Source organism: Homo sapiens, chromosome 4 (genome assembly GCF_000001405.40).
Source record: "Homo sapiens chromosome 4, GRCh38.p14 Primary Assembly".
NCBI classification, from domain to species: domain Eukaryota; kingdom Metazoa; phylum Chordata; class Mammalia; order Primates; family Hominidae; genus Homo; species Homo sapiens.
Window position 1 is genome coordinate 166,643,765 of NC_000004.12, and position 19,962 is coordinate 166,663,726.

The 19,962-nt window shown below is 35.5% G+C and overlaps 1 annotated feature.

Moving 5' to 3' along the window:
- Window positions 18,724-18,783: an enhancer, noted in NCBI's record as "active region_22121". NCBI's record gives its function as "activates an Ori minimal core promoter by ATAC-STARR-seq in GM12878 lymphoblastoid cells {active_cell/tissue: GM12878}" and the evidence as "EXISTENCE:reporter gene assay evidence [ECO:0000049][PMID:35858748]".

The following is a 19,962-nucleotide window of genomic DNA, read 5'->3' on the forward strand; positions in this document are numbered from 1 at the left end:
TAACCTCAGGTAGTATGTTTTTTACTATGGAATATTGCAAAAAATGCCATTGGAAAGCATAATTCATTTTGGCATTTGTGATAAACTGATGAATATTATGTCCAATTATTATGTTGAGGACATGCTGGGGGTGAAGTTTCCCCATGGTTAATTACAGATGCTGTTGTGCCAGGCTGCAGGCCTAAAACATGGAGAGTCTCCTGGAGCAGAGGTTTTTACAAAAACCACCACGTAGAACCACTTTAAATGATTACATTTTTTTCCTTTGCTGCTGTCCCATTTTCCAATTAGTTTCGCTGGATACGTGCCCCTTTCCCCTCTAGACCAATCTGTCCCTGGCCACTGGGCCAGGAATAGATAACATGAGAAGCTAATTCTATTTTAGCTAACAAATCCTTATTTCCAAGTCCTTACTCTCAATTAGTTTTGAGTTTGTGGAACTGGGTAAATATAAGCTTGACAAATGTTCACGAATAACTGTAAATCACTGTTGCATTTAACTAGTGATAAATCTGAATTTTTAAATGACCGGATGGTTAAGAGGAACATGAGGTTAGTGAAGAAGTTTCAGTTGGCACAAGGCATTGGCAACATGCTCAATATAAAGGCAAACAAGGGTCATATTTAAATAAGTTTAATACTTTTATTTTACTTTGTTTCAACTAAGCTGTAGAACTGAAGGAAAAAGTTCACAGATATTTAAGATTGAGTATAAAGGCACTCAGGTGAGAGATTATCAAATCGAGAGATGTCTGCTCAAATGTAGGTACTTACTAAAATAATTCCTGGGGTTATTGTGGAAAATGACAAAGTGATTATCTTTAAAAAATCAACTATTTTAGAGAGACATTTTCCATTATTACTGTAGCGGGATTGAGCTTAACCTTGTGGAAAAACAGTAAGTGAGGGGTCAGAAATGTCTACAATTTGGGGATTGACATGAACTGTGTCAACGTGTTCAATTTTGGAACAGACATCTCATCTAAAATTTCTGAGACTGGATTTTTTGCCATTTGAAAATGGAAATTATATATACGGCTTCACATATGGATTATTATTTATGAGTTTTAGACCCCACTAGTATGTACAAGTCATTGATCCTCACATATTTTCATTACTTCCTTATTGTCTCACTCCTCTCTATAAATAGCTGAAATTCCAAAACCTCACTTTTGCCTTAGGTTCCCTGTCTAATACACGGGTGCTGGACAAATCTGCATTTGAAATGTAATCTCATCTCCTATAACTACACCTGTGCATTCAAATATGATAGGAGAAAAACACACATCCATCATTTTAGTCCATTTGTTTTGCTATAAAGGAATACCTGAGGCTGGGCAATTTATAAAGAAAATAGGTTTATTTGGCTCACGATTGTGCAGGCTGTACAGGAAGCATGGCATCAACATCTTCTGGTGATTGCATTAGGAAGCTTTCATTCATAGCGGAAGGTGAAAGGGAGCAGGCATCACATGGCAATGGAGGAAGGAAGACAGACGAAGAGTTTCCAGACTCTTTTCAACAACCTGTTCTCACAGTAACTAAGTATAAGAACTCAATCACTCCAGTAGGAATGGTACAGAGCCATACAGGAGATATCCACCCCATGATTCAAAAGCCTCCCACCAGGTCCCAACTTCAGCACTCGGGATCAAAGTTCACATGAAACATAGTGGGGCCAAAAAACAATATCTGAGCCACAGCAGGCATGCTGACTATTGTGCTTTAAATGTAGGACATCTGACTTCAAATTGGCCATTATTGCTTTCCAGTAATTTTAGTACAAGCCTCTATCTAGTCCACTCACTCTCCTCCTCTCATGGATGATGATTTTACATGTTCCTCTTCTCAAAACCCTAAGATTTGAAGTCCTATCTTCACTCTTACGAGATGACCTGAAATCCAGTTGACTCATAAAATACAATAGAAGAGATTCCCACAACCTTCCACCATTGCATCCACAGTTCTACGAGCACCTGTGCCCACATGACCTGCCTCCAATTCCATTGCTATTTACTAAAACTTCGCATCCTTCTCTGGACATTATCCTTTTTCTCCTCCCTTTCCTAAAATAGTTGCTATTACTCACTGATTCCAGTTACTCCCTCCCCCAAATTTACTCTTGAACCTTTTCCTGGATATTGTTGCTGAATTGGCTCTTGCAAAATCATCAATAATTTTCACGTTGGTAAATGAAATGATTCATTCTCAACTTACTTGAACCTTCATTAACATTCTTATGTTTGACTATGTCCTCCTTCTTGAAATATTTTTCTCTCACTGATTTCAGGAAATTTACTCTGTTTATTGCTCCTGTTATACGACCCCTCATTCTCAGCTCTTTTTGCTTGTTCTTTTTCTTCCTCAATACACTAGCACTGATGTGTCCCAAGGCTCAGTTCTCAGATCTCTTTCTCTACCCAATTTCCCTTCTGTAGTAATCTCCTCTTACCCAAAGCTTTTTTTTTAATGTATGTCAAATCCTTTTCTCAATTTAATTTAATTTTAAGTTCTGTATTACATGTGCAGGACGTGCAGGTATGTTACATAGGTAAACATGTGCCATTGTGGTTTGCTGCACCTATCAACCCATCACCTAAGTATTAAGTCCCACATCCATTAGCTATTTGTCCTGATGCCTTCCCTCCCCCTCTCCTCTGACAGGCCCCAGTGTGTTGTTCCCCTCCCTGTGTCCATATGTTCTCATTGTTCAGCTCCCACTTAAAAGTGAGAACATGCGGTGTTTGATTTTCTGTTCCTGTGTTAGTTTGCTGAGGATAATGGCTTCCAGCTCCATTCATGTCCCTGCAAAGGACATGACCTCATTCCTTTTAAAGGCTGTATAGTATTTCATGGTGTATATGTACCACATTTTCTTTATCCACTCCATCATTGGTGGGCATTTGGGTTGATTCCATGGCTTGGCTATTGTGAATAGTGCTGCAATGAACATACATGTGCATGTATATTTATAATAGAATGATTTATATTTCTTTGGGTATATACCCAGTAATGGAATTGCTAGGTCAAATGGTAGTTCTGGTTACAGGTCTTTGAGGAATTGCCACACTGTCTTCCACAATGGTTGAACTAATTTACATTCCCACTGACAGTGTCAAAGTGTTCTTATTTCTCCACAGCCTCGCCAGCATCTGTTGTTTCTTGACTTTTTAATACTCGCCATTCTGACTGGTGTGAGATGGCATCTCATTGTGGTTTTGATTTGCATTTCTATAAAGATCAGTAATGCTGAGCTTTTTTTCATATGTTTATTGGCCGCATAAATGTCTTCTTTTGAGAAGTGTCTGTTCATGTCCTTTGCCCACTTTCTAAAGTTTGTGTGTGCATGTAAATTTGTTTAAGTTCCTTGTAGATTCTGGATATTAGACCTTTGTCAGGTAGATAGACTGCAGAAAATTTCCTCCATTCTATAGGTTGTCTGTTCACTCTGATGATAGTTTCTTTTGCTGTGCAGAAGTTCTTTAGTCTAATTAGATATACCATTTGTCAATTTTTGCTTTTGTTACAATTGCTTTTGATGTTTTTGTCATGAAATCTTTGCCCATGCCTATGTCCTGAATGGGATTGCCTAGACTTTCTTCAAGGGTTTTTATAGTTTTGGGTTTTACATTTAAGTCATTAATCCATGTTGAGTTAATTTTTGTATAAGGTGTAAGGAAGGGGTCCAGTTTTAATTTTCTGCATATGGCTAGCCAGTTTTCCCAGCTTCATTTATTAAGTATGGAATCTTTTCCCTATTGCTTGTTTTTGTTGGGATTGTCAAAGATCAGATGGTTGTAGATGTGCAGTCTTATTTCTGAGATCTCTATTCTGTTCCATTGGTCTTTGTGTCTCTTTTGTACCAGTACCATGCTGTTTTGGTTACTGTAGCCTTGTAGTATACTTTGAAGTTGGGTAGCATAATGTCTACAGCTCATTCTTTTTGCTTAGGATTATCTTGGCTATATGCACTCTTTTATGGTTCCATATGAACTTTAAAGTATTCTTTTCTAATTTTGTGAAGAATGTCAATGGTAGTTTAATGGGAATAGAATTGAATCTATCAATTACTTTGGGCAGTATGGCCATTTCCATGACATTGATTCTTTCCATGGGCATAGAATGTTTTTCCATTTGTTCATGCCCTCTCTGATTTCCTTGAGCAGTGGTTTGTAATTCTCCTTGAAGAGGTTCTTCACTTCTGTTGTTAGCTGTATTCCTAGGTATTTTATTATCTTTGTGGCAATTGTGAATAGAAGCTCATTCATGATTTGGCTCTCTGCTTGTCTATTGTTGGTGTATATGAATGCCTGTGATTTTTCCACGTAGATTTTGTATCCTGAGACTGCTGAAGTTGCTTATCAGCTTAAGAAGCTTTTGGGCTGAGACAATGAGATTTTCTAGATATACAATAATGTCATCTGTAAATAGAGTTTGGCTTCCTTTCTTTCTATTTGAATACGCTTTATTTCTTTCTCTTGCCAATTGCCCTGGCTAGAACTTCCAATACTATGTTGAATAAGAGTGATGAGAAGGGGCATCCTTGTTTTGTGCCAGATTTTATGCAGAATGCCTCTTGCTTTTGCTTATTCAGTTTGATATTTGGTGTGGGTTTGTCGTAAATGGCTCTTATTATTTTGAGTTATGTTCCGTCAATATCTAGTTTACTGATAGCTTTTAACATGAAAGGATGTTGAATCTTATTGCAGGTCTTTTCTGTGTCTATTGAGATAATCGTGGTTTTTGTCTTTAGTTCGGTTTATGTGATGAATTACATTTATTGAGCTGCATATGTTAAACCAGCCTTGCATCCTGGGGATGAAGCTGACTTGATTGTGGTGGATAAGGTTTTTGATGTGCTGCTGGATTTGGTTTGCCAGTATTTTATTGAGGAATTTTGTACTGATTTTCATCAGGGATATTGGCCTGAAGTTTTCTTTTTTTTGTTGTTGTATCTCTGCAAGGTTTTGGTATCAGGATGATGCTGGCCTCATAAAGTGAATTAGGGAGAAGTCCCTCCTTTTCAATTGTTTGGAATAGTTTCAGAAGAAATGATACCAACTCCTCTTTGTAACTTTCATAGAATTCAGTTGTAAGACTGTCTGGTCCTGGTCCTGGTCCTGGGCCTTTTTTTGTTTTGTTTTGTTTTTTTTTGGTTGGTAGGGTATTTACTGCCTCAGTTTCAGAACTTGTTATTGGTTTATTCAGGGATTCAACTTTTTTTTTGATTCAACCTTAGAAGGCTGTATGTGTCCAGGAATTTATCCATTTTTTCTACATCTTCTAGTTTATTTGCATAGAGGTTTTTATAGTATTTTCTGAGGTTCGTTTGTATTTCTGTGCCTACCCAAAGCTTAAAATGTTACTTCTATGTTCATGGTTGCCAAATTATACTTCTAACCTAATCATCTCCACAGAACTCCAGGCAAGCATATATGTCCGTGGTTTTAAAATATCCACTTCCAACTGTATTTGATCTCTCGAACTTGAAACATTCAGAAATAAATTCCTTATCTTTCTCTCAAGACATACACCTCCTGCAGTCTTCCCTATTGCAGTTCATGGCCAAATCCAATCTTCAAGTTGATCTGACTAAAAGCCCAAGAATCACTCTTGATTAATCTCTTTCTCTCATGCCCCATAACAAATCCAGGAGTCAATTCTTTTAAAATACATCACGGCTGGGCGTGGTGGCTCACGCCTGTAATCTTACTTTCACAGGCTAAGATGGGCGGATCATGAGGTCAGGAGTTCAAGACCAGCCTGGCTAATGTGGTGAAACCTCATCTCTACTAAAAATACAAAAATTAGCTGGGTGTGTTGGCACGTGCCTGTAATCCCAGCTACTTGGGAACTGAGGCAGAAGAATCACTTGAACCCAGGAAGCAGAGGTTGCAGTAAGCTGAGGTCATACCACTGCACTCCAGCCTGGGTGACAGAGAGGGACTCCATCTCAAAAATAAATAAATAAATAGATAGATAAATAAACAAAACATGTTACTACCTCCACCTCCACTGCTTTTATTCACATCATCATCCTTTTTCTTTTCGATGATTACGCAAAATTCTAACTCATTTGGACTAGTTAACAACTCAAGTCACCCCAGTGGTTTCCCACTCAGACCTAAAGAAAGACAGATCTCCTATCGTGGATTGACATGATTTGGCACTACACAAGTCTCTCCATGATGTACTGTACACTGTATCCACGTTTACTCTCACTTCAGGTTCTTTGAACTTACACTGCCCATTGCCTGGATGCTATTCACATAGGGATCTGGACTCCCTCTTTTCCATCAAGACCTTGATTATAAATCGCTTCTCTATGGAGGTCTTTTCGGACCACAATGCTTAAAATTGCAACCATTTCCACACTCCTCATCTCCCTCCCTTTAATGTTTAAAACATTAAAACTAATTTTTTCATTTTCGTTATACTTATCATTACATGACATAAAAATATATTTTTTGTATTCCACAGTATTGTATTATATTTGTATTGACAGTATTTCCTGTTATTATAATGTAAGCAGACATTGCATCAATGCAGATTTATCTTTCTGTTTGATTCGTTAACACTGTCATCGGTGTCTAGAATAAGACTTGACACATAATGCTCAAAACAATTCTTAAAATAATGATAATATATATAAAAGCACTTTGGAAATTATAAAGTTTCATTAAAATGTTGACATTATTATAACATCAACTAATTTTGTCAGATATTCTTCCTTTTAAATTTGATACCTGGTCTTATAAATATCCATAATTATCATGAAATTTATTTCCTATGTTTCAGGCACTGAGCTAAAAATGACATTAAAATTTTAACTCAGGTGACAGTGAGAACAAGGTCACATAGTGAAAAACACATGAAGAAATACAATGTTAATGGTTCATTTATGTAATAAAAATCATTTAAAAAATAATAATGATATACCTGTGGAAGTAAAACATATAAACTAATTTTAGTTACGGTGACTGCCATCTCTAATTATAGTGGTTTTCATATAGGGAAATTTTTAATATTTTTGACTTACAGCTTACATGCAAGAATTCTCAGTAATTATATATAATAACAGAGCATTTGCTTATATTTAAATGGCAAGACAATTAAAAAGTTATTACTCCTCAATGTTTCAATATTAGCACAATCTCAATAATGTGATTCCATTTGTCATTATTAAAAATTCTAGTCAGAGTCATAGCACTTAATTTATAATCTAATTTTATAAAAATAGTTGACTTTTTATTTCTTAAATATGTGAGAGGGTTAGTGAATTTATCTTATTTTGAGAACAACCTAATCTAGAGATACCATGCATTTTGAATATAGATAATAAATAATATCTCCAAAAATGTTTTGTAAATTTATACACTGTATATCAATTTACAGTGCTACAGTAAATAAATTTTTGTTTAATAAAATCGGTTCAAATTTTTATGTTTCATTTCAAATAAGGTAAGGTGGAGGTAAGAATTATTTTCATAGGAAAAACCCTTTTGGAGAAATTCTATTAAAAAAGAGGAAATAAATTTACATGTCATGAAAATGAATAAGTGTTTTTTCTGTTGCAATATGCCTTTTATAAAGCTTCCTCCTTTTTTGGAAAAAATTATGTCTATTGCTCAGTTCAAAATATTTGACTACATATCCATGTTAAGACCAATATAAGGTCAGTAATCATTTAAAACGTAATGTAAAAGTTTTTGTTTCTTTGTTTTTTGAGACAGGGTCTTTCACTGTCACCCAGGCTGCCCAGGAGTGCAGTAGTATGATCATAACTCACTGCAGCCTTGACCTCCCAGGCTCAAATGAACCTCCTGCCTCACCTTTCCAAGTAGCTAGGGCTACAGGTGCATGCCACCACACCTAGGTATACATTTTTTAAAAAAATTTTTTGTAGAGACAGGGTATCACTATGTTGCCCAGGCTGATTTCCATCTCCTGGTCTCAAGCAATTCTCCCTCCTCAGCCTCCCAAAGTGCTGGGATTACAGGCAGGAGCCCCTATGTCTGTCCTAACATTTTTATCGATTTTATTCCAGTACAGTTATTTAGAGCTGTCTGTGCTAAGAAGGACCCCACACTTAGGGTGTAATGCTTTTTGGTTTCTGTCTTGACATTTTAAATAATTTTATCTTGAAATAACAACTTGTCAAATTTCGCCTTTCTGTCATGACCATCATGAGGGGACTTGTCAATTTGTGAAAGAAGTTCACTTTACTTAGGGTGATTTACTGTTGAGTCATTGATTTACAGCTCTCCCTGGCTTCATCTTGGTCTCAAAATGCTTGTCACTCTCCACAACAGTTTACTTTTCAATAATCATGAGCACCCCATGGTCACCTGTTTCATTTGCCGTTTGTGTTTCTATGATAGTCTATGCCAAAGTCTCAATTCCTCCTAGAACTGTTTCCTATATAAATCACACTACGAGCCGAAGTCTCACTCTTTATCAATGTCTATTATGGGGTAATTTTCTTATGTCGAAATCAATGAATGGATGTATTTAAGAGAAATCCTAAAAATACTAGGAGTCAAAACAATAAACATTTAATAGTTAACATGTGGGCAGCATGCTAAGGTTTGAAAAGAAAATTTGAACTCTATGAGAGTCCCCTTTCAGAGACTCTATCTCTTTTTAAATCCTATTCAACTCACATCTCTCTCTCTTGTACTCACTTTATCTGAGCAACCCATTCATTTTTTTTCTATTCCTTCTGTTCCTTTCCCTGACCTTCCAAATGTCACCCTTTCTTTAGGATTTTCAAAGGAAAATAACAATCACATTTTAAAATTTCTAGACCAGAAGCAGACCTAGAGGAGCTGAATTAAAGCCATAGCCTAGAACCAAAGTATCTCCATAATTGAGGATTTTTCTAACCTTTGGGAATATGGGCTGAAATTTGTTACAGAATTAATAATTTTGTTAGATTCTAATTATCCTGGCCTAAAGGTCTATATCAATTAGTCCCATTAACTGTTTCTCTATTTTTTAAGCATTTAAAAAATAAAATTTTTAAGGATTTAAGAAATTCTTTAAAAATATGTTAAGATTAAGATTTAAATAACCCATTTGTATTAAATTTTAAAATAATTCCCTTTACAGGCTAATAAAAATAAAATACACTACATAAAGCAATTTGAGAACATTTTAAGATTAGACTAGACAAAAACTCAAAGTTGTAAACTAAAACTAGATGCCAGAAAACTTTCAAACATTAAAAGTTTCAGTATTACGGGTTAGGCCCAGCAACTGGAGTAAAGATATTATGTCTTCTCTCTTTGTAAACCTGAATTAGGGGAGTTTTTTAAAAAATAAAATAAAATCTTGAAATTTCCAGTGTGTGGATGGACATTTTCAGAAATTTAGAAAGTAAACAAATTGATAATTGGCAAAACTTTTGGTTCTTTAAACAAAATAACTCTCCACTCCAGAAAAAAAAAAAGATTATGTGTAAAATGGGAAACTTGACATACAGAAACCAGTACATACCACGAACAAAAAAGCCATTAAAGAAACCAATTTTCCCTGATGGCTAAGAAACACAAAGAGAGCTGTCCAAAATCTGTCCAATGATATTGCTTCTAGGGAAACATAAGCACCCAAAAATTCCAGGACCTTTATCTAAATTTCCAAGGAGAATTTGTTGATAACTACATATGGACAATACACCTTTCTTGTTGCTATGTATGCTACTATAATCAACCATTCATCCCAGCTCTATATGTCAGATCCCTTAGAGTAAAATACAGACCTGAAAGCCAAGATAGAGGGCACATTGACTTGTAGCAAGTGAAAGAAAAAGAACTTTTGACTAAAGAAAAAAATCACTGGTGTCAGATTATGAAAGAAGATAATAAAAGGTATACTTGTAGTCTAGTAAATTATAGCTAGCTAGAGGAAAATGAACTTCATTTACCTCAATTTGCTAGAGCCATTTAAGTATTGAGTATTTTTCACCATCCTATGTCCTTTCCAAAGTTCCAAATTCTGATCTTTTGGCTTCATTATAAGAATACGTCCTTATTCGTGGTAACGCATTACTACAAATATAATAGGTAATATCTCTTTTCATAAAAAATATGCTTCAATCCCAAGCTATGATCAGATTAAAATGGATCTAGGCATAATTATACCTACAGTATCCATGGCTTGATTAATTATCAGAAAATTAGTTATAGTCCCAGAATCCTGTGGACAAAACACTACAACACTACAGATCTAGACAGATTAATTAAAGTAGAGCATATAAAAATTCAGATTATCAAAAATCTTTTGAGTAAACATGAAGAGATTAGGGCATCTACAAGAGGTGTTATCTCAACAACTTGATACACGTCAAAAACCCATCTGAACTAAATGCTTGAGGGGATGGTTTTTACATGCTGTGATTTTACATGCTGTGATTACCATGTATTGCATACCTATATCAAAACATCTCATATATTCAATAAGTATATACAACTACTATGTGCCCACAAAAATTAAAATAAAAAGTAGAAAATAAAGTAAAATAAAAACCCACCTGTACACCAAAACTTATTTCATCTATCTAACCTGTATTTTTGCACTAATTAGCCAACCTCTTTTCATCCTCCCTCCCTATTACTCCAAAAATATGTGTAATTATTATGTATCAACAAAAATGACCCAACCCTAAAAAAATAAGAAACTAACTTTGATCCAGTAGCCAAGGTTTAACTTGCTTGCCTCCAAAACATTCAGGCCGTAATTAAATTGATTAAAGCATCTTTAGATTTTGTAACAGGATCACTTGTAAACCTGAGGTTACTACAGTTAGTAAAATTTTATGTTCCTAAAAAAACACTCAATATATTTCTACTAACTAACAAATGATCGATAACTGTGACTTTCTTTTTCTCATCTTACTATCCCCTGATGTAGCATTCCTAATACGCCAAATCTGTAACACCAATGAAGGAAAATTACACGAATATACCTGTAATTAAGGAATTGTCCATGCTCACAACAGATTTTTTTGTACATCCCAAAACCCAAATGTGACTTAATGTTTTTGAATAGGTCACTTTTATATTAAATATGTAAAGGGAAATATCAGGGTTCATTAAAATATGTAGTATAGTCATTCCTGTAGAAGCCACTTCCTTACCAGAAGCTCAATTGACAGAACTGTTATGTTTTCTAGGACATATCAAATTGCCTAAATAAAATAGATCTATATGCTAGTGACAGATATAATTTTGGGATAATTCACTTATCTGAAATGATATAGAAACAAACATATTTCCGCAGACTCCTCAGGTACCATTTAAAAATAAAAAATAAACACATGAATTACTTGATACCTTGATGCTTCCATAAATAATTGTCATAAAGGTAGATTCTCACAGTAAACAAGATATTATAGGATCTAGGGTCTTATACTGTGAAGAGTGTAGACATACTGTAGAAATACTACATAAACGTATACAAATACTTTAGAAAATCCTTTAGCAGTTTTTATCTTTGACTAGCTGTTCCAAATAAAGTCCATATAGAAGACTTTCTTACAGATCAAAAACAAGTAGCAAATCTATAGACACACAAAGTCTAGACTGATAAACTCGGAAAAAAATGCCATGGGGGAATGATAGAGTTGTGAGAACTCAACATAGAAGGATATGACCTGGTAAAACCAGAATTACCACTTACAGCATCAGATAAAACCCCAAACTGTCTTTGGGTAAAATTTGTCTGCAAAGCAGCCTCCAGGGAAAAATTGGTGTGGAACTGATGCCAATAGGGTAGTGTAGATCATCATGCAGTTTGTGAGCAATAGAAATCACCTGAGGGGTGTGTGTGTGTATGTGTGTGTGTACACATATACATGTGTATAAATATGCAGTTCTTCTCACCTGAGAAGTATATACAATTTTATATATATACACATAAAAATACATATATACATATATATGGATAAAAAGAGAGAAAGAGAGAGAGGCGGAGGAAGGAAGAGAGACACTTATGAGCAGTAGAAGATAATATAGATGGCCTAAAAACAGTGAGACTTTTAAAATCAATAGAGCCTGGAGGTGCTGGGTCTATCCTGCAGGCCCTGGCTGAGTGACGGATGAAAGGAGTACTCAGACACAGGTATGCCATGTAAGAGCCCCTAGGGGACTGCTGGGCACTTAGTGGATGGAGAGTGAGCAGTCTGAAATAGCTGGAGCTGCTTGCTTTATTTCAGTACAGATATAATGCTGAAAGCCTGGAGCCAACACAATCTGTGGGTAATTAACATTATTGTTCCCCTCTTCAGGGAGCAGTCTTGGGTACGGATGATCAAAGTCGGTTTCCGGACAACATAAGTTAATAAGCCTATTTAAGATAAATTCCTGTACACTCCCTTGTACCTATTCCTCGCCCTCTGCCTCAGGGTAAGAGAATAGCTGCCTTCAGCTTATTATCCCCCAAAGCTATGCAGAGCCTTCTGACCTTTCAGAAGGCCTGCTCCTTTTCCTATAGTTTCTCCCACCACCCTGACTAATCTCCTACGTGGATGGAGGTCTAGGAAACAGATGTCTGGATAGATCTATAGAATTGGGTGCCTAATGGGAAGCTCTTTATATTTGAAGAATTGTTAATGCCGATCAGCAACTATCCATTGTAGAAGAGCACTAAACAACCAGGTGGATAGGATGACTTGGCCAACAGGTATCAGTTTCTATCCTCAGGCTCCACAGTATTAATACAATAGGCTCATGAATGGAACAGCCATGTGGCAGAGATGGAGGCTATCCATGGGGCCAACACCTTGGATTTCTGTCACAAATTCTAATCTAGTCACTGCCTCTGCTGAATTTTGATCTGTCATGAGAAGATCCTGAGGTTGAATCTCTGATATGGTACCATGTCTCAAAGAGACCAATAAGCCTTCTGAAGGCAACTGAATTACATGGAATCTTTTCCAGCCAAGAAATAGCAATGATTATTCTGATCAGGACTGGTATTTACTCTTGATATAAATATGCATATCTAACCTGCGATGCCTCAGCCAACATCACTATTAAAGGGCTCACAGAATTTGTACTACTGACATGGGAGCCCACATAACATCATAGCAATGATTTGTTGGTGGCCACAAAACCATAGGATTGAATGGTTCTATTGCGACATGCCCCACCCAGAAATGGCTGACTTAATAGAGTAGTAGAAAAGATTCTTGAAAACATAGCAGAGAAACCAGCTTGGAGATGATACCTTAGAGAATCATCCTGAAAGGTGCCACCCTTCAGGATGGGTAATAGACCTTAAACAAATTGCTATTATATCTTTATTTGCCCTCCATTGACAGACTACATGAGTCTGGCAAACAAGGGGTAGAAATAAAAGTGACCTTCACTTTTAAAAACCCATTGATGGTATTTGTATTTATCCCACAGCTTCTTAAACTCTGTATAACTAGATGGCCTGGTTTCCAGAGAGGAGGCAAGTGTATCAAGGGATATGGTCAGAGTCTCAATAATTTTGAATCAGGAATCTGAGCTCTTCATTCCAGTAGGCCAGCAGGCTCAAAAATGAGTTACAATACCAGCAGGAGTAATTGAAGCTGAATGTCCTAAGGATGTAGGACTACTCCTTCTTAACAGGGTCAGGAAGGAATGTTTGGCATTCATATAATCTGCTGAATATCTTTTGCTATTCCTATGTACAGTGTTAAGTGGAAATATTCAAGTTCAGCAGCCATAGCCAGATAAAAGCAGAAAAAACAGGCTCAGACCTCTCAACGACGTGGGTCTGAGTCACCCCACCAGGGAAGCCACTTCAACAGCGGAAGTGCTATCCAAGGGTGAGAGGAAAATAAAATAAGTGGTAAAGGAGGGATCTAGTGAATATATCCTATGGTTTTAGGATTAATGATAACATTTGGGGCTGTAGTTTATCCCACTAAACCAACTTCTTCCAAAATGAAATTCAGACTAACTGGAGTCTTGTATAGATGTTGCCCAGATGCAGTAAACGTAATGTGAGTGCAAGGAATAGACTGATGTAGATGCTGTTGATATTCTTTCTGGTTCCCATTTTCCAGTTAGCATGCCCATTCCTTAGTGCATGCAAGTGTCATGGCTAATGGTTTACACCTGTGACCTTCTTGAAAGGAATTCCTTGGCTGATGGGGATCAATAGCACCAGGAAGACCTGGGAGGTTACACCTTTCACCAGCAGAGTAGCTATCGTCTGACTAATAAAGGCATACAAAATTCAAAGCCCTCAATGAAATGGAGGCCAAGTCTCTGTTGTAATATAGGTTTTAGAATCCAATCTCTACCATTTGGATCAGGCCAGTACTAGAACTAAGTTCACATTCTTGTTTAGCTTCTTGCCCTCCTCCACTTACTTTGTTCACTCTCTTAACAGATTTTTTTTTCTTTCCCTGAATAGTACTTCTCCAATAAATCATGTTCCCTTGAAACCCTGTCTCAGGCTTTGCCTCTAGAGCACCCAGTGTAAAACAGTGATAATCTGGATATAAATACTTATATAGTGCCTCTATTTTACTATGTGGCTGAGTCAAAGGAAAATAAAAGGTGATAGCAAATAAACCTGACTTTGCCTGAATTAAGCTATTTTTATGGCCAAAGTCTAGTGCACAAGGGTTATATGAAGATTTTCTTTACTGCCTGCAGATGATCGATTCCAGGTAATGATGGTTAATGTCTAGAAGATAGCTTTGAGTAATAAGAACTTATAATATTGCCAAAAATTTAAAAGAGTATATGAAAACTAAGAAGCAATGAGTACAGATGAATAAATAAGTTCCAGATAATATTTCTTAAAACTGAAAGTATGACTTAGTAGATGATTTTTTTTTTTTCAGTTTTGTGGAAACAAATGGCCTTCTCCTCATGTATTTTTGAACTGTCATGTGGTTGATTTTTTGACCTGAAATAACATGAGACAGAAATCATTTATGGTTGATCCTTGTGGTACTGAGATTTTAATATTCTCATATTTACTTAAGTTCTTTCTCTGATAAGAGGAGCCTAAGATATACCATTTAACAAAAGTAGACTCAGATTGAGAATGTGAAACACCAACAGGGATTTCAGTCAGCTGTCTTGTTCTGCACTTTTAGAGCTATTAGAATGGTTGTCAGTGTGACAAACCTTGGCTTTCTGCTTCACTTGTTTGTGTGAAGCTGTATTGGTGTGTAACCTAAAGTCGAATTTGGAGAAAATCTATTAATTTTCTAAATAAATATTTTAGGTATGAACTTACCATTCTTTGAAGCATGTTTCAAACTATATGGTTCTTTGGTGCCCACAGAATTACTAATTGTCTTTGTGAGAGATTTTAAAACAGCACTGACAAAAGATGTGTGAAATAGACTCAAATATTAGTTAAGCAACATGTAAACTTTTTAAGGTTAAGACCCAACACACTAACCCAAGTTATTATGGAAATAAATTGTCCAATCAAATAAAATCACATATAAAAATTCAAACATGTATTTCACATTAAAGGGTTTTAATCTAATTAAATAGCATATTAATTGAAAGTATAATAATTCAGTTAATCTACTTATGCACATTTTGAAATAAAACTTTAATTAATGTAATTATTACTGCTCTACCCAAGATATGGCTCTTTATTTTACCAAAATTTTCCAATTTCTATGCTCATATTTATATGTATATCTCAGATATTATTGCTGCAATATTTCTTCATTCCATAGTATATTATTCACTTATCCAATCATTCATTAACTCAAAAAATATATATTGAAGAATATTGAATAATATGGTCAAGTACAGTTCAATAGTCTGTAAATACATTGTAGGATGCTACAGCTAGAAATATCTATCCTTGTGAGATTTATTACTTACTGAAAAGAGACAGTAAAAAAGATTAATAATAGAAATAGTAATCTTGTTAATGGGCTCATGAGAAAACTAGAGAGCAAGGAAGGCCAAAGGTGATGTCATGATAAGGGAAGAAATGCCATTTTCAATAGTGTAGACAGACAGCCAACTTTTGGGTTGATATTTGAATGAAGACCTAAAAAAGATGAGAGGGTGAGCTATAGGATATTCATTTGAAACTTTTATTTATTTTATTTTATTTAATTTTTTGAGAGAGGGTCTTGCTCTGTCACCCAGGCTGGAGTGCAATGATACAATCATGGCTCACTGCAACCTCAACCTCAACTTCCCAGGCTCAAGCGAGCCTAGGACTACAGTTGTGAGCTCCCATGCTTGGCTAATTTTTGTAGTTTTTGTAGAGACTGGGTTTCACCATGTTGCCCAGGCTGATCTCAAGGTCCTGGGCTTAAGCGATCTGCCTGCCTTAGCCTCCTAAAGTACTAGGATTAGAGGCGTGAACCACCACCCCCAGCCAATATTGGCTTTCAACAAGGTACCTAGACAATTACTGCATGACTTCAAGGAAAAAATACATTTATTTAGCTAGGATTAACTAGATCACTTTAGCTGCTAAATTGAACATAAATGAAAAGGGATAATAGTAGAAGTTAGGGAGAATAGATATGAAGCCCTTCCAATCATCTACAATACATGGAATGATAGATTAGAGAAGAGTAGTAGCAGTAGGGGTTAAAAAATAAATTGGATTCTGGACAGATTTTGAAGATAAAACCCACAGAATATGGCAAGAAAGAGAGGAGATCAGAACACTCCACATTTCGGTCTGAGCTACAGGCTGAATGTTGTTGCCATTTACTGAGTTTGACAAACTGTTAGAGTAACAGGGTTGGCAATTAAATATCAGAAGCTCATTTTAGGAAATGTTAGGTTTTAGAAGTAGTAGATTTAAACAATTCTAGTTAGTCAACTCATGCAAAGGTACCAAGCAGGCAGTTGATATTTTGTCCTGATGATCAGGGGAGAAGAGCTGGCTAGTGGTATTTATTTGGTGGCCTTAAGCACATAGATTACACTTACTACCTTGAGGCTGGATGAAATAACCAAGGGGGAGAGTATAGTGAGGGAAAAGAGATGAGATTTAAGAACTGAGCTGTGGGGAACTCCGACATTTAGACAATACAGCGAAAGATCTGGAAAGTAAGACTGTGCTAAAGCAGCAACAGAAGTAAAAAAGAAACCTGAGAACGTTTTCTCAGAAAATAAGGGAAGAAAGAATTTGAAAAAGGAGAGAGATCATTGTGTCTACCACCTACTATTCCATCATAAACAACAGTAGATGTCCTCTGCATACCAAATTTTAATATAGAACTTTTATCTTTCAGTTCTAAGTAATTTCTAAGTCTCATTTTTTTCTTTGACTCATGAGTTATTTAAAAGCATGCTTGTAAGTTTCCAAATATACATGAATTTTCTTTATTATTTTTATCTTAATTGTTTAATAATAAAAAACTTAAGCCTATTTTCAGGGCTGGCGTTCAGCCAGTATCACATGACAGGATGTATAGTCATCCCTCAGTATCTGAGGAATTGGTTCCAGGACCCCCTCTGATACCAAAATCTGTGGATGCTCAAATCCCTCACATAATGGCATCATATTTGCATATAACTTACACACATCCTCCCATATACTTTAAATCATCTCTAGATTACTTATATCTAATACAATGTAAATGCTTTGAAAATAATTGTTATACTATATATTTTAATTGCTTTTTAAAAAATATTTTCTATCTATGGTTTGTTAAATCTGTGGTGGGAAAGCCACAGTTATGCAAGAGCTGACTGTATTACTTTATAATTATTAATCAAGCATTCATCTAAGTGGTCAGTCATCTTTTGAAATTTATCAGCCCCATGGTGTAACAGTTGATAAATATTTTGAATATTACCTCTATCTGTATGAAACTGTTCTTTGAACTTTGTTGGGATTTGCTTAATGGTCTAGTGCAGGATTAATTTTTGTAAATGTTCTAGATTTCCTTGAGAAGAACATGTAGTCTCTAATAAGCTCCATTCATATTTTATAATTGCATTAGATTAAGCCTGTGTATTGTGTCCAAATATTCTATAACCATTGGTTTTTTGTCTCTTTTATTTTTTTAATTATTTTATATTTATTTGTTTTGGGGATATAGACAGGGTCTCATTATATGGAAAAAGTTATGGTAAAACATCCAACAATAGAAGGAAATTTATCAATTGCTCTCTCTAGTTTAATTAGTTTTTATTCCATGTACTATCAGAAATTCATGTGTCTTAAATTGTTAAATCTTTTGTCTCACTAATGCTCTTAAAATTAGTTAGTGGTATTCTCTATATCTAATAATGATGCATTTTTTCTTATAGTCTACCTTTTGTTTATATTTACGTGGATACACCCACTTGATTGCTTGTGCCAACAAATACCTTATATAATCAGATAAAAATTCCCTCAGTAAAAAGAAAATGTTAGCCTTGTTTCCAAAATTATTTAGGCAAAACAATGTTAACCAAAGACAAGAAAAAATTGAATATAAATGAAAACAATCAAAAAAGAAAGTCAGTGAAAACTAACCTACAATGACTCTTGGTATTGAAATTAGTATACTGACTATTGTTAAAACACACCTCAGCAGACAAACACAATGAACTCTCTGGCTAAAAAGAGACATACTGAAACTACAAAACAGAACCAAATGGCCACGACAGGGTGAGAAGCTGGTCATATATCCCTGGGCTCACAAAGAAAATACATGTCACTACCTGTCACAAGGTTTTTATTCCTGTAATTAAGCAGAACCGATTTCTCAAAAACATGTCAAAACAGCTACGGCTGAAAATTCCCCAACTGACCTCAGACAGAACACCTGGTGGTGGCTGACTGACCACCTGGAACCTGCTAATTAAAAAACTTGTAGCTTCCTGCTTAAAGACCACCCAATGCAGGCTTTTCTCCTTACCATTCTGATACCTTCTCCTGCTTTGCAGTCCTGCCACAACTTTCAATAGACTAAGGATGAGCCTTACAAACTTTCTTTCATGATAAACTGCCACAAATCTCCAGCCAGTTTCCACTGGCTTATAGAGGATATGCAAAAACCTCCTTTGTGCCCAGTAGTTCACCATATGACATATTGAGCCAAAATCTCCCTTATTTTGATATTGAAATCCCACTGCAAAGTGAATGTAGAATGTATGCTACATACGTTAAGCTGTTACACAAGTGCTTAACTTCCCTCAAAAATATACATAGATTTTTCACAAACTCCTCCACAAATCTCTTGGTTTTTTTTGTTAACACTGTAAAGCAAGTATGCTTAAAATGTTTAGTAAATTAACTGTTAAAAATGAATAATTTTGGCTGAGAACTGGAAACTATAAAAAGGAAATTACACTTTTTTTCTTTTTAAAGAGCTGAATTGAAACTCTGGCCAAAAAAAAAAAAAAAAAGAAAAATTAACCAAAATTAAGAACTCCATGAATGATGTTATAAGATACATTGTATCCTCCAAAAAAAGAAACGTTGAAGTCTTATTCCTCAGTATTCAGAATGAGATATTTAGTGAAAACAGTATCGTTTCAAAGGCAGTCAAGTTAAAATGTGCTCATTAGAATAGGCCCTGATACATATTGCTGGATTCCTTAAAAAAGAAAGATTTGGACACAAAGAGAACCATAAGTGGAAAACAATGTAAAGCACAGGGAGAAGACAGTCATCTAAAAGCCAAGAAATACCTGAGGCTACCTGTGTGTCTAAATACCCAGTTTGCAGTCCTAGAAAAATAATACAATATTTGTATTTGGTCGGTGCACCAACCTTATATAACTGCGTATTACACAGAACTGAAGAGATAATTACCAACATGGGAGAGAACTTACAGTAATCCATCTGTAATAAAGGAGAGAGTTTCAAAATAATGAAACAAGAGAAGATAAAAGATATAGAGAATATAGTGAGAAGTACTAAAAATAATGTTCGATTATAGCCCTACTAGCAGAAAATATAGAAAATAGGAGAAGTAATATTTGAAGAAATAATGACTAAGGTTTTCAAAAACTGATGAAGGCCAAT